This window comes from Homo sapiens, chromosome 6 (assembly GCF_000001405.40).
Source record: "Homo sapiens chromosome 6, GRCh38.p14 Primary Assembly".
NCBI classification, from domain to species: domain Eukaryota; kingdom Metazoa; phylum Chordata; class Mammalia; order Primates; family Hominidae; genus Homo; species Homo sapiens.
In genome coordinates, this window is record NC_000006.12 from 11,374,487 (window position 1) to 11,387,294 (window position 12,808).

At 42.9% G+C, this 12,808-nt stretch overlaps 1 protein-coding gene across 2 annotated transcripts in view, besides 1 other annotated feature; it reads right to left on the reverse strand.

Annotated features, from left to right (window-relative positions):
* Positions 1-7,862, reverse strand: part of NEDD9 (neural precursor cell expressed, developmentally down-regulated 9) — a 199,051-nt gene extending 191,189 nt beyond the window's left edge. The window contains exon 1 of one of the 2 annotated variants that reach the window (NR_073131.1): positions 7,653-7,862. The gene's annotated coding sequence lies outside the window, so the exon portion shown is untranslated. The remainder of the gene's footprint in view (positions 1-7,652) is intronic. The other variant, NM_001142393.2, reaches the window with a different exon arrangement.
* Positions 7,534-7,733: an enhancer, noted in NCBI's record as "active region_23985". NCBI's record gives its function as "activates an Ori minimal core promoter by ATAC-STARR-seq in GM12878 lymphoblastoid cells {active_cell/tissue: GM12878}" and the evidence as "EXISTENCE:reporter gene assay evidence [ECO:0000049][PMID:35858748]".
* Positions 7,863-12,808: the final 4,946 nt, after the last annotated feature.

Sequence of the window (12,808 nt, forward strand, 5' to 3'; positions counted from 1 at the left end):
CCTCTAAATATTTCCACTCTTTACAAGTGAAGCTGTGGGTGGGGAATTTCAGAGTCATGGAAACTAGTCAAAGGTTACTAAAGGTTCATGGACACTACTATTTGATAACTGTGTGGTAGCTGCATAGTCGCATATGCTATAGAAAAAGGTGAATATAAAAAATACATCAATAGGAAGCTTATAGATGAGCACTATATGAAATTTGGTTCTCTTCAGGATCAAGCAAAGTGATGGACCTTCATGGAACCCAATCTGCTGGTCTGGGGAACAATACTTTTGTAAATTAAGTATTCATATAGAACTTTTCCCCAAGGGCTTATCTGGAGGGGAAGTGACAGTGAGAGTGAAAGCCTTAATTTGCCCACAATCAGCATGGGCTAGCCCAGTCACAAATTGTCTGTCCAGGAAGATTCTTTTTTTTCTTTTTGTTTTTATTTTTTAATCTTGGGGAGTCACTTTAGCCCTTTCTTCCTCTCCCATTTAAGACCCCTTCCCTCCTTTGATGTCCCCTAGCTAAAACCTGCTTCTAACTTGAGGCAAAATTTTCACTTCTCTGCTCAAGTAGTTTGTGCATGAAACAGGGATAAATTTGGTGGCAATTGTGCCTTCTTGAAATCCTAACTCTGAACCATCATTTTTGTCAATGACTTAGCACTGCCAACTGATAGAAATGATAGACTGTCATACATTCATGCAATAGGATACTATACAGCTGTGAAAATGAATTATCAACATCTCTTGGCATCAACATGGATAACACTCAGAAATATCATGTTGACCCTAGAGCAAGTCTTGGAAGAATGCTTATGTATGATTATATTTACTTACAGTTCCCAAACAGGCAGAAATTGACTATATGCAAATTGTATATATACCTATGCATATATGTCTATGCATACACTTAGACCTAGGAGGCCAATCAAAAAGTAAAGTAAGGGAATGACTAACAAAATTTTAAGACAATAGTTCCTTTTGTGGTAGGTGATATAATTTGGATGTTTGTCTCCTCCAAATCTCACGCTGAAATGTGATCCACAGTGTTAGAGGTGGGGCCTAGTAGGAGGTATTGGATTATGGGGGCAGATCCCTCATGAGTGGCTTAGTGCTGTCCCTTTGATGGTGAGTGAGTTTTCACTCAGTTAACGCACCCAAGATCTGGTTGTTTAAAGGACTCTGGGACCTCTCCCTTCTGTCCTTTTCTCTCTCTCTTGCCATGTCATATGCTGGCTCCTCCTTCCGCCATGATTGTAACCTTCCTGAGGCCTCACCCGAAGCAGATGCCAGCACCATGCTTTCTGTATACCCTGCAGAACCATAAGTCAATCAACCCTTTTTTCTTTTTTCTTTCTTTTTTTTGAGACGGAGTCTCACTCTATCACTCAGGCTGGAGTGCAGTGGCGTGATCTCGGCTCACTGCAAGCTCCGCCTCCCGGGTTCATGCCATTCTCCTGCCTTAGCCTCCTGAGTAGCTGGGACTACAGGCGCCCGTCACCACACCCAGCTAATTTTTTGTATTTTTAGTAGAGACGGGCTTTCACTGTGTTAGCCAGGGTGGTCTCGATCTCCTGACCTCGTGATCCGCCCGTCTCGGCCTCCCAAAGTGCTGGGATTACTGGCGTGAGCCACCGTGCCCGGTCCCCACTTTTTTTCTTTATAAATTACCCAGCCTTGGGTATTTCTTTATAGTGATGCAAAACGGACTAACACAGAAAATTGAAAATTGGTACTGAGAAGTGGAGCATTGCTATAAAGATAACTGAAAATGTGGAAGTGACTTTGGAACGGGGTAAGGGAGAGGCTGGAAGAGTTTAAAGGACTCAGAAAAAGACAGGAAGATGAGGGAAAGTTTGGAACTTCTTAGAGACTGGTTAAATGGTTGTGACCAAAATACTGATACAGATATGGACAGTGAAGTTCTGGCTGATGAGGTCTCAGATGGAAATGAGAAAGTTTTTGGGAAATGGAATGGGGTCATTCTTATTATGCCCTAACAAAGAACTTGGTTGCACTGTATGCTCTAGGGATCTGTGGAAGTTTGAACTTAAGAGTGATGACCCAGGCTACCTAGTAGAGGAAATTTCTAAGCAGCAAAGCATTCAAGAGGTGACTTGGCTACTTCCAGCAACCTAAATCAGATATGGGAGCAAAGAAGTGACTTAACATTGAAATTTATATTTAAAAGGGAAACAGAGTGTAAAAGTTTGTAAAATTTGCAGCCTGGCTCTGTGGTAGAGAAAGAATCCAAGCAGGTTGTGAAACATTCACTTGCTAGAGAGATGAGCATAACTAAAAGGAAGCCAATATCCAAGACAAGGCAAAAACCCTCCAAAGGCATTTCAAAAATCTTGAGGACAGCCCCTCCCATCAAAGGCCCAGAGGCTTAGGAGAAAAGAATGGTTTCAGGGGCCAGGCCCAGGGCCCTACTGCCCTGCTGAGCTTCAGACTCTGGCTTCAGCCTCAGCTCAAAGGGGCCCAGGTACAGCTCTGGCCACAGTTCTGGAGGACACAAGCCATAAGCCTTGGTGATTGCCACATGGGGTTAAGTCTGCAGATGCTCAGAACGCAAGTGTGAAGAAGGCTTGGTGGCTTCCACCTAGATTCCAGAGGATGTATGGGAAAGCCTGGGTGCTCAGGCAGAAGCCTACTGCAGAGGCAGAGGCCCCACAGAAAAACTCTACTAGGAAAATGCCAGGGGAAATGTGGGGTTGGAGCTCCTACACAGAGTCCCCACCAGGGCACTACCTAGTGGAGCTGCGGAAAGGGGGCTGCCACCCTCTAGAACCCAGAATAGCAGATTCACTGGCAGCTTGCACCCTTTAACTGGAAAAGCAACAAGCACTCAACTTAAACCCATGAGAGCAGCCATGTGGGCTGCATCCTGCAAAGCCACAGGGCCAGAGCTGCTCAAGGCCTTAGGAGTCCACTGTTATAACAGTGTGCCCTAAATGTAGGACTTGGAGTCAAAGGAGATTGTATTTTGGACCTTTAAGATTTAATGACTACCCTGCTAGGTTTCAGATTTGTGTGGGGCCCCTATACCCTTTCTTTTGGCCAATTTCTCCCTTTTGGAATGGTAATGTTTGCCCAATATCTGTACCATCATTGTACCTTGGAAGTAACTAACTTGTTTTGACTTTAGAGTCTCATAGGTGGACAGATTTGAGTCTTAGATGAGACACGACTTTGTACTTGATGCTGGAATCAATTCAGACTTCGGGAGACTACTGGGAGAAGATGATTGTATTTTGCAATGTGAGAAGGACATCAGATTTGGGAAGCCAGGGGCAGAATGATATGGTTTAAACATTTGTCCCCTCCAAGTCTCATGTTGAAATGTGATCCCCAATTTTGGAGGTGGGATCTAGTGGGAGGTATTGGAGCATGCGGGTGGATCCCTTATGAATGAATTAACACCATCTATCTGGTGATGAGTGAGTTCTTCTTCAATTAGTTTACATGAGATCTGGTTGTTTAGGCCAGGCGCAGTGGCTCATGCCTGTAACCCCAGCACTTTGGGAGGCTGAGGTGGGTGGATCACCTGAGGTCAGGAGCTCAAGACCAGCCTGGCCAACATGACAAAACTCCATCTCTGCTAAAAATACAAAATTTTGCTGGGTGTGGTGGCATGCACGTGTAATCCCAGCTACTCAGGAGGCTGAGGCAGGAGAATCACTTGAACCCAGGAAGTGGAGGTTGCGGCAAGCCAAGATTGCACCACTGCACTCCAGCCTGGGTGACAGAGTGAGATTCTGTCTCAAAAAAAAGATCTGATTGTTTAAAAGAGTGTGGCACCTCCCAGCTTTCTTGCTCCCACTCTTGCCATGTGATGCTGGCTCCCCCTTCATCTTTCACCATGACTGTAAGCTTCCAGAGGCCTCACCAGAAGCAGATGCCAGCACCATGCTTCCTATACAGCCTGCAGAACCATGAGCCAATTAAACCTTTTTTCTTTGCAGATTACCCAGCCTCAGGTATTTATAGCCACACAAACATAGACCAACCCAGTGGGCATTGGGAGAGAAGGATACAATTGTTTAGGGGCACACAGCAGGCTTTCAGGGTTGGGTAGTGGGGTAACAGGTGGATGTGTATTTATGTTTTTATTCCTATGATTATTTAGAATATATGGATACCTTATATATACTTTTTTGTAGTATAAAATGTTACAATATTTAAAAATTTTTTCAAGCTAAATTTATCTAAATTATTCACCCTCATGTATCACTTTCCTTGGAAAGTAGAGGGTTTTGTAGCTGTTCAAAAAAATTTATCATTCATTGACCTCTAGTTAAGTGAATTACAGACCTTCACGAACCAGAGCTTCTAATCTGAAGCAAAAGTGAAAAGGAATGCAGATGAAGAAATACCTCCACCCGTCCCCTCAGCTCACATTGCTGAGTTACATCGGAGCCTCATGGATTCTTACTTAGGGTGGAACTACCATACAATGGAGCTTGTGTTGTACCCATTTTTAGGTGTCTATACTACCCTGCATCACTGCTGGGACGTTTGGGAGCCACTGTGGGCAAAGTGAAGTTGTATATTTTGAAGACCAAAAAAGCCTGTAGCTAACAAGGGCAGCTTGGACCCCTGCTTCCTGGGATATCCAAAATCCATACAATTCCAGCCCAGTGGCACAGGCCAGGCAGGCCCTGGGTGGAAGGCACTGGGAGATGCAGCCATGCCCTTGAGGAGCCTGCGTTCTAGTGGGGCTTTCCTAGTCTTCTCTTAATCAAACCCCATTTTCCAGGGTTTGCCATATTCTGTGTGCTGTCAGGACTGTCAGCAACGTTTTTTTCTTTAAATTAACTCACTTTTGGGCCGGGCGCAGTGGCTCATGCCTGTAATCCCAGCACTTTGGGAGGCTAAGGTGGGCGGGTCACCTGAGGTCAGGAGTTCGAGACCAGCTTGGCCAACATGGTGAAACCCCATCTCTACTAAAAACACAAAAATTAGCCAGGTGTGATGGTGGGCACCTGCAATCCCAGCTACTTGGGAGGCTGAGGCAAGAGAATCACTTGAACCTGGGAGGCAGAAGTTGCAGTGAGCCACACTGCACTCTAGCCTGGGTGACAGAGTGAGACTTTGTCTCAAAAATAATAATAGTAATAATAAATTCACTTTTTTAAAACTTAAAGATTTATATTTTAAAAGAAATGTTTATACCATTCCTACAAATTAAAAAAAAAACAGGCCGTTGTGGTTTAATATAAGGTAACCATAAAAAGCAAATACAGGAAAATAAAGCCATGCTATTAATTTGTAGCTAGCTACCAGTGCCTGTTGATGGCTCCTAGCCTCAGATCGACTTTCTCTTGTTAAAACAGTAAGGAGCCAAGAGTTAGAGTAGCTTTAAGATCAGGTTCAATGTGATTTCATGCTCTATCTATGTATCTTGTGCTATATAAAATTCTCCTATTTGTGTTCCACACTTCAGAAATTTTCATCAAATGAGTTGTGAAGGTGACAGATAAGCAGGACAAAGTGAAGGTCATTTGCAGTAGGACGCATCTTCGTGCTGTGCGGGTTTGCATGGAGACATGTCAAGCCTAAGGTGCTCTCCATGCTGTGCCTGTGCCCTTTCTCCAAGCCAAATCCAGAAGAGGAGGAGGAGGATCTTCCCCCACTACAACCCTTGAATGGATATGTGGGAAATCAAAACTCAGAGTCTAAGGTCAAATGGAGATGGAGCTGATCATTGGAAAACAGACGACTAAACTCTTTAAGTACCTACAGTAGTAGGTGGCCGGTGGTCTTAGCTTGGGTTCCCCCAGAAGTAGACCCCAATGCAGAGTTCGAGGACATGTAGTTTAAGAAATGATCCCAGGAAGCATTGATGGGGAGTGAAGGAGTATCCAGGGAAGGAGAGAAGCCATGAAGGGCCCCGCCACTGTGGGCAACTGGAGCTTGATTCCGTGTAGATTATTCCACTCAAGACTGAGGGAGCTGGAATATTTACAGCCTTTGAGGAGTTCATTTCTGGGAATTTTCGTCTGCCCTTTGGGCAATTACAGTTGTCCCTGTGTGGCTTGGAGAAAGCTCTCAGGTCATGAGATAAAGACTCAGGTTGTCAGCAGCCAGCTCAGTCACAGTGAGGCCTGGAGGAGGGAGGCAGGACACTGACTACTTCGGATACCCCTTCTCTGCCAGATGCTTAAATGTTTGCTATTCAATCTAATCCTTACCACAGCCATTCAAGATAGCTCTTTCCCCTTATTTACGTGTAGAGGAAGAGGCACCGGGAATTACATCATGTGACCCTTACAGCCTGTCCTCTCCTACACCTCTGCTTTTATATCTTCCTAGTCATCGTCTTCTTCTTCTTCTTCTTCTTCTTCTTGAGACAGGATCTCACTCTGTCACCCAAGCTGCAGTGCAGTGGTGCAATCATAGCTCACTGCAGCCTCGACCTCCTGGGCTCCAGCAATCCTCCCGCCTTAGCCTCCTGCATAGCCGGGACTATAGGCATACACCACCGTGCCCAGCTATCTTGTTTAAGTGGTGACGTACAAAGTGACAGCCACTAAATAGCTGTTAAATAAACTAACCGATTAACAAGAAATGGTGGAGCGCTAGCTAAACACTGATTTCACATCCTTTCTTTTCCACCAACTCCACTTTCCGCATTCTTAGAACCAGGAATGTCCTCGAAAGTAACCAAGCTTGGAAGAAAACAGAAACAAAGAAGAAAACTATTTGGCAGATTCCCAGTATTCTGTCATGGACAATTGCTCTTCACACCCCATGCTGGGTGGGAAACCAGCTTCTGGGCAGGGGAAGGAGGGACTCCCCATGCAGGAGTTTAAATGACTAGAGCGCCTACTCTCACTTCTCAACACAAGCAAAGGGAAAAGATTGGTGGCCGATCTCTGCATAGCTTAGAATTATGTATAACCCTTTCAGAACGATTGTCCCCTTTATGATTACAGATGGTCTTCATTTTGAAAAAATTTCAGCAAGATAAAAAATTTGCCTCAAGTCCTTGGTGGAAGAAAGGCAATTGAATGAATGAATGAAGGAAGAAATGAATGAATGGGCTAAGTGAAAGAATAAACATAGAGAAAAGTAAGGGTGGAGCTCTTGGGCGGCTCACTATGGACAGGGAGAACACAGTGTGCTGTCACTTGTCCTCAGCCCCTTGGAGATGATCCTAATGACTACAGGGATAGGACACGCACAGAATCCAATCCTCAGTCACCATTTCTCGCCAGTCAGGACTCATGTCCAAAGAGGCTGAAAAGGACGTAAATGATTCTAATCCACCATAAAGAATAAGTGACGGCCCACACTTTGAAGTACTGAAATAATTCAGGAAAAATAAAAGCTTAGTTGCTGTCAGGTAAGCTCTCTGACGACAGTAGGAAGAGGGGAGGGGCCATGTACTTACACACCAGGAAGCATCTACCCAGAACAATTTCATAAGTAGAAATCATGCTGGTTTGAATGTTGCACTAAAACCAGCACCTCCAGGTCAACTTGGAGACCGGGAGTCACTCATTCCTCTTCTGGGGCATGTGGAGGTCCTCCCTGCCCCAGTTGAGGAGTGTTCACAGTGGGGAAACACCACCAGATGTCTGGCACCAACTCAGGAAGTAGGAGCCTGAATGAGTCCCTCCTCTCCCACAGGCCACAGCAAGTGGCTGAGAACTCACCCAAGTGTAGGATGGAACCGCTGGTGGATCATCTTGCCTCCCCGACGCTCTGGCCCTCTCTGGGCAGGCGGGCGGGAGGTGACAGCTAGTCCTGCTGCATGCTCATGTTTCCCTCTCCATGCAGCGAGCGGACTTGCTTCTAGAGGCAGCTGTAAGCATTTCCCTACTGAGCAACCACACACGTCGGATGTGAGTGGCATATGTATGTGTGTGTTTTTCCTTCCGGTTGCTGTGAGGTGATGTTGTCTTGGTTCATTTCCTCTCTGTGCTTCTTCTTTTTTTTCTCTGTCATACTTTCTGATTCGCTGAGGACACTTTGTAGTTTAGGGACAGGTAAGAAAGCTTGTTCTCATCTGGCCTCTTTGCTATTTTTAGAAAGGTAGGTGATCTTTAAATTCGTATTGCAAGGAAATTTGTCAAAATGTATTCTTCTAAGTGGCATAAGCTCCCTCCTAGGCCGCACTGAAGCAAAAGTTAGGCTATTTCCAAGCCAACTGAATTGGGATTTTATGGTTTTATGGACTCAGTATGTTGCAAAGGGTTCCACTATTAATTGACATGAAACATTCTTTCCTATGACAAGTACTTATTGAGCTTGTACACTGGAATAGACACCATGCTAGAGGCTAGGTGCTCAGAGAGTTTCCTACTTACAATGTGGTATGGAAGCCTAGATCTGTGTATGTAGAAGGGAATTCGAAAGCCCAAACCCTTTGTCTTCTTCATTCTGTGCTTTCAAGTAGCAGACAAGTGGCTCTGAGACAAGCCTCCTGGGTTTGAATTATGGCTCTGCTCTTTAAACACTTCTGGCCTTTCTGTGCCACGGCCTCCTCATCTGTAAAATGGGAACAGTCACAGGATTGTTGTGAGAATTAAGTGAATTAGTACATGTAAAGCACTCCAAGAATGCCTGGCACAAATAGAGTAAGCGCAATATAAGTGTTTGCCGTGATCATTCGTGGCAACTTTGTATTATTATCAGCTGAGATCTTTGCTATTTTCCTACCCTTCCTCATTTTCCACTCCTTGCTCATGCCTAGCAAACGACTTGGGGACATAGAGGGTTGAGAGGAAAGAGAGAGAGGTGGTTTGATAATGGATGTTCCCCAAATGATCCTGTGGTGCTTGATGTTTCTGCTTCAACTCCTTCCTGCTCCATCATGAAGACAAAGAAAGGGCTGCCCTTGGTCCCACCCATCAGACTCAGCTCATGTATGTTGCACTCTTGTGGCATCTCTTTTGTTGTTGTTGTTGTTGTTTGTTTTGTTTTGTTTTGTTTTAATTTTCTGTAAGACTTCTCTGAAATTCATTTATTTTTAAATGTTTGAGCTGGTTCAAATCTTGCTAAAGAATATTCTGCTCATACAAAGGTGCCACACTTAAAGCAATAAACACTCAGCTCAGTGCCATGTACACTGGGTCTTATGAAGAAATCAATGACAAGAACATCGATATTAATCATCATATATTGTATATATTGTATACATATATTGTACCTGTTAAGTGCAATTAACAATATTCAGCAAGGTATGCTTTTATTCTTCTTTCCTCTCTTTCTTTCTCCTTACAAAACCATTCTTGAGTACATGCTATGTATCCACATCATTCCAGATTTGAGCTAGAATTATTCTACTCTGAAGTTTTTATTTTATAATACAGAGTGTTTATAATAAATTGATGGAGGTAGAGAAGTCTGGATAGTACATGTTTTATCAAAACGTCCTTTTATGCTTTTCCCCTTATACCGTATCAGGTAAGGAATTATTTTCTTCATCAGGCATTTAATTAGTATAACTTTAAATGTACAAACTTTAGAAAACATAATTAATAATTTTGTAGTATGACTTGAATATTAATGCCATCAAATTGTCTGCATAAGTCAGTTACACTCTAGAGATATTAAAAATGCTAAGCTTGGGCTCCTTTTACATAAAATACTTGAGACTGACAACCTTATTATCCTGAACTCTGTTTTTTCATCTTCATCCTATGGCTTCATTTCCCACTTCCAGCTGCCTGGACCTCCCACTGCTGAGTTTTTCAGAACAGAGAGCGAGCGAGCATGTCCTTCAAGGCAAACTCAGGAACTGAGACTTTGTCCAAAAACAGATCAGACTTATTTTAGAAAAACAAGTTAAATATTTTTCCCATTTGCAAAGATGCCGGTTTTCTATGTCTGTTTTCCTACTTACAGTGTTAGATTTTCTTCTTCTTCTTTGGTTTATTTTCTTTTTGATTAGTAGCAGGTTATGCTGCATGTCAACATTTTGGCAAACCACAGATGATTCTGACAAAAAACAAACAACTTTAATTTCTAATCACTCTATCCATTGAGGACAGGGCTTACATTTTCATCTTCATTTAAACCAGCTTCTTGACTGCTTTAATTAGCTCCTTCATGCCATCTCAGTTAGCTGGAATCTTAGCTTGCACCACAAAATGCTTTATAACTACCTGTGAAGCAGTAGCCAAACCCCAGGCAACTGTTTTGAATTTGTTATGGAGGTCTGGTCCAAGGAGCAGCTGTTGTATGGAGTGGAGGATGAGGATGGGGGAAGGAAAAGTAAGGAGAATTTGAGAAGACTCAAAGGTTGAGAAATCTATGGCCAAAGTGTGTGCACATGTGTGTGTGCATGTGTGCACGCATGCACATGTGTCTATTTATGATTCCATTTGCTTGACTCATTCCCCTCCACGATGGAAGACAGTATGAGCCATGGGGAATCAACTGCCCACTGAGGAATTTAAATGAAAATGCTCAAGGGCTGGTCTGGCAAATTTTAAGAACAAAGTTGTCTAGAATTATAATGGATGCCTCCTCCCTTCTTGGGAATGGGAGTTTGTCTTGTGGTTTTCATTTTTAGATGAGGAAATCAGAGCTCAAAAAGATCCCGTTCATTTTTTCCCATTCATTAACTATCGCATACCTGCGAAGTCTCCTGAGCTTTCCTGGGCATTCTCGATACCTCGCTCCACAGGACACCCTCCAGAAACCTGTAGCTCAGTGGGAGATAAGCCAGCAAGATAGCTGTTTCTGTTCATTAGTTAATTCATGATCTTAAAAGCATTATTTAACATGGGCTAAAATAAATAAAAAAGAAATGAGAATCAGTTTCTCCCCTAAGAGAGATGATAGTCTGGAAGGCATGGAAGAATGAGCCTTATTCACCTTCCTCTTCTGCTCTCTTGCCCTTATAAACCTCCTTTTCTCTCTCCCCTAACAGGACACCTTTGTCTTTTGCCTGTCTATTCTCCCAGTCCCTCAGCCAAGTCCTGGGCTCTCTAGCCCTCCTACATTGCCAGAACTCCATGACCTATTTCAGCAATGTGTATAATGTAGATTTCCTTGCTCTTGTTCTTCCATTTTCCACCCATGTCATGCACCAGAGCTATCCAGACTTACTGGGGAAAGTTAATAAGGCAACTTGTTTCCTTGCAAATTCTCCCCAATAATCTTAACTGAGGCCCTTCTGCTGCTCAAGAATTTTCCTTCTCATCTCCTGCTGTCTGTCAGGTCCCCTGTGGTATCCCTTCTAGACCTTTCTCATGTTCTAAAAGCTCTAAGCCTAGCTGTTGCCTCCTGTTATGCCTGGGGTAAGGTCTCATGATGGGAACTCTTTCAGGATGCCTCAAGATCCCTGCAGTTTCACCATTTCTTCCATACTGTTCCCCATTCTCTGTCCATTCTTCAGTCCTTTGAATTACAGCTTCAAGCATCACCACCCAATTAATAATGATAGTAAGAGCTATCATTTTAAATTTATATTAGCAGGAGGCAAACAACATTGGCAAAGATGAAACCATTCTTCTAGTCATAGAACAGCTGTTTGAGAAAACACGGGCACCTGGAAGAGCAAAAGGAAGAAAGACTGAACACTTTTAAAGACAGAAGTGATGCCAAATTGTAAAGATTCTGACTTATTGGAAGCATTCATTGCATTTAGGCATCTTGCAAACACGTATTTCTCCATGGTTTACACCCTGTTTGCCTACCCTTCCACTACATAATAACCATCTTTGACTTCTCAAAAAATACTTGGTAAAACTTAATTAGTGCTAATTTCTCTATAACTTTAAAATAAAATTTTAAAATCTACAAGTAATAAATTTATCTTGTAAAGAACTAACATTGCAGATGAGGTTCTCCAAAGTGTCTTTGCCCATCAGCCCTAGTTTTAATTTTCTCTCTTGCTTTGCCCACAGAGAACCTTTGCTATCGGTTTGAGGTACATTCTACTAAGACATTTTCAGGCATTCATATAAATATATGTCACCACTGCCAATTTGCAGTTGTGCACATGTGTACTACCCTTGCCCTTGAGCATGCATGTGCACACAAACAGAACCTGATACTGAAACCATCATACTGTACTATCCTCGGTTTCTGAGGGAACTGTATAAACTGCCGTTCTGGTTTCACATGAAACAGCAACTTGGAAACAACATCTTATTCACGAGAATGTAAAAAACAAAACTGCATTGCTGCTTTAGATGGTTGAACAGGTGAGGCTCCTCAGTTTATCTGAATCTTGTCCATTTGTTTTCTAAATACATAGAAATGTGGATTCACATCCAGCTGATTTACCTCTGGGTAGAGATTCCTGGATCAAATACTAAAGATCTATTTGCCATTTGATAAAGTGATTTTTGGGATTGTTCCTTTTTGCCTTCACAATCACCTAGCTAAAAAGTCAAATCACAACCCTCCCCTGATATATACATAAGCTGCCCCTGACAATGACCCCAGACACGGGGAGGGATGCCAAGTGCTGGGATTATTTACATCCACTTTTTTCTCTACAATGACTGACTGTTTACCTCTCTCCTTCCTTGGGCGTTTCCCTTATCCTGACTCTCATAGCAGCCTCCATTTCACAGTGCCATACTGTGGGTTAACTACTTTCTAAATTGAGAAATATTTTTTACTGATCCCTAGTAGTTAAAACTGCAGCACTCCCTGTTTGTTCCCTTTAGTTTTTATACAATGATTTTTTCTCTAAGACAATAGAAATTTAAACTGGAAATCCAACTTACCCTTCCTCTATTTTCACCACAACTTTTCTTATAAACAAACACCTATGTCCATATTTTCCTGGCAGTCCTAACTCAGTTCCTTGGTTCCATCTTCTTCTTTGCCTCTTTCTCTTCTTTCTTTC